Source organism: Homo sapiens, chromosome 6, assembly GCF_000001405.40.
Source record: "Homo sapiens chromosome 6, GRCh38.p14 Primary Assembly".
NCBI classification, from domain to species: domain Eukaryota; kingdom Metazoa; phylum Chordata; class Mammalia; order Primates; family Hominidae; genus Homo; species Homo sapiens.
The window spans coordinates 65,926,353-65,928,709 of NC_000006.12; the positions used below are offsets into that span (position 1 = coordinate 65,926,353).

The 2,357-nt window shown below is 36.9% G+C and overlaps 1 annotated feature.

Moving 5' to 3' along the window:
* Positions 630-799: an enhancer, noted in NCBI's record as "experimental_93781 CRE fragment used in MPRA reporter constructs". NCBI's record gives its function as "activates a minimal promoter by MPRAs in K562 erythroleukemia cells, with activity observed for both the introgressed and non-introgressed 6:66636960 variant alleles {active_cell/tissue: K562}" and the evidence as "EXISTENCE:reporter gene assay evidence [ECO:0000049][PMID:34662402]".

Below are 2,357 nucleotides of genomic sequence, written 5' to 3' on the forward strand. Positions count from 1 at the left end.
CTTTGAAATATTTATATTTGCATTTTCCAGCATAATTTTGGTTTCTTTTTTACATTTAAGTTTTTTAATCCAGTAGGATACATACTTATGTTAGGCATGAGAAAGAGGTAGAGCTTTTTTTTTTCCACAATTAATTTTTTTCCTAGATCATTTTTCCTTCAGATGACATTAAAATTATGTCTAATGGATTTTATCTATTTTTTATTAATTTTATTCCTAGGTATGTTTTCTACTTATGGCTAATATTTTATTTTATATTTTTAAGCTAGATGTTAGGGGTTTAGAGGAAAACATCTCGTTTTGATTTTGTAACCTGACATGATAAAGTACGCTACTTTTACTTCTGATGTAGCTTTTTACATTTTTTTGGTTTCCTTATTTGTTTTTTGGGAGGGTACAATGAAAGACTCTGTGTATACTTATTTATTTATTATTTTGATACGCAGTTTTGCTCTTGTTGCCCAGGCTGGAGTGCATGGCGCAATCCAGGCTCACTGCAAAATCCGCCTACCGGATTCAAGCGACTTGTCTTGCCTCAGCCTCCTGAGTAGCTGGTATTACAGGCATGCCCTATGTTGCCCGGCTAATTTTGTCTTTTTAGTAGAGATTGGGTTTCACCATGTTGGTCAGGCTGGTCTCTAACTCCTGACCTCGTGATCCGCCTGTCTCAGCCTCCCAAAGTGCTGGGATTACAGGCGTAAGCCACCGCACCCGGCCGTGTACTTTTTAAAAAAAATTTTAATGCTAGAGGCATCGTATTACTCCATTCTCAGACTGCTATAAAGATACAACCCAAGACTGGGTAATTTATAAAGGAAAAAGATTTAACTGACTCACAGTTCCGCATGGCTGGGGAGGCCTCGGGAAACTTAAATCATGGTGGAAGGGGAAGCAGGCCCCTTCTTCTCAAGGCAGTAGGAGAGCGTGTGTTTGTGTGTGTGCGTGGGCGCGCGTGTGCGTGCGTGTGTGTGTGTGAAGGAGGAACCGTCAAATAGTTATAAAACCATCAGATCTCGTGAGAACTCACTCACTATCGCAAGAACAGCATGGTGGAAACCGCCCCCATGATTCAGTCACTTCCTACCAGGTTTCTTCCTCCATACCTGGGGATTACAATTCAAAATGAAATTTGAGTGGGTACTGGTCATGAAACAGAGGGAGATAAAACTAACAGATCATATTCTAAATGTATTATAAAATGATTTGAATAAAATAACTTACATAGGCTATAGGCATATAATACTAGACTGTAATTTGAAATCTGTTTTGTGGTGGTGGATGCAGACTAGAAACAATGTTAATTTTTTAATTTTTTTTTTTTTTTTTTTTTTTGAGGCAGAGTCTCGCAATGTCACCTAGCCTGCAGGTGCAGCATAGCTTATTGTAGCCTCAATCTTCTGGACTCAGGCGATTGATCCTCCTGCCTCAGCCTTCCATGTGGCTGGGACCACAGTAATGCACTACTAGGCCCAGCCAATTTTTTTATTTTTTTGTAGAGATGGTGTCCGACTTTATTTCCCAGGCCAGTCTCAAACTCCAGGGCTCAAGCTATTATCCCACCTTGGCTTCCCACAGTGTTGGCACTACAAGTGTGAGCCACTGACTGGGACAAATGTTAAATTTCAAGAAAGAAAGAATACAACGATGAGAAAAGACTTAATTCAGGTCAGGTTCAGAAGGTATTTTCTTACTTCAAATAACAGGCTCAGGGTAAATTCTCCCAGTCACTGTGGTACTTAGCACACTCCTGTATAAACATCTTTTCTTGTGTAGGTGATTTCCTTTGAGTTCAGGAGATGACAAGCTATATCCTTTTGTACTGTAAAGGGAACAATATAGTTGAAAAAATAATTATATCAGTATTAAATATTCGTGTTAAAAACAAAAATATTTGTTAAGAATTATAATATTATTTAACATATTTTATTATCAACAATAGTGCACTCTAAAATGGCATTAAAATAGCCACCAGCAACATATCTTGACCTTATTTATATTAATGGTCTTTCTTTCAGTAAAATTATACCTATTGCAATGAGAAATGATTTCTTGGCATTCTTGTAATAACTTATATGTATCACAGCTTAAAATATCAGCAGTTACATACTTTCCTATTAATAACAGCATGCCTAATTTATTCTGAAATGAGTGACATTGGTAATTGACACAAATAAAAGTTGTTTCTTTTTTAAATGTCCCTGGCTGTTTGCTTGCCGGGAAGTTTAGAAGAACACCATCATCTGTTACTCTTATAAATATATGAAAACAACAAGAACACATCTGATGTTGAAGGAAAAAATTGCATTTTCAATCAGTGTCTTGTGAAACGAATTAGAAGTTCTGTCAGATAATGTAAA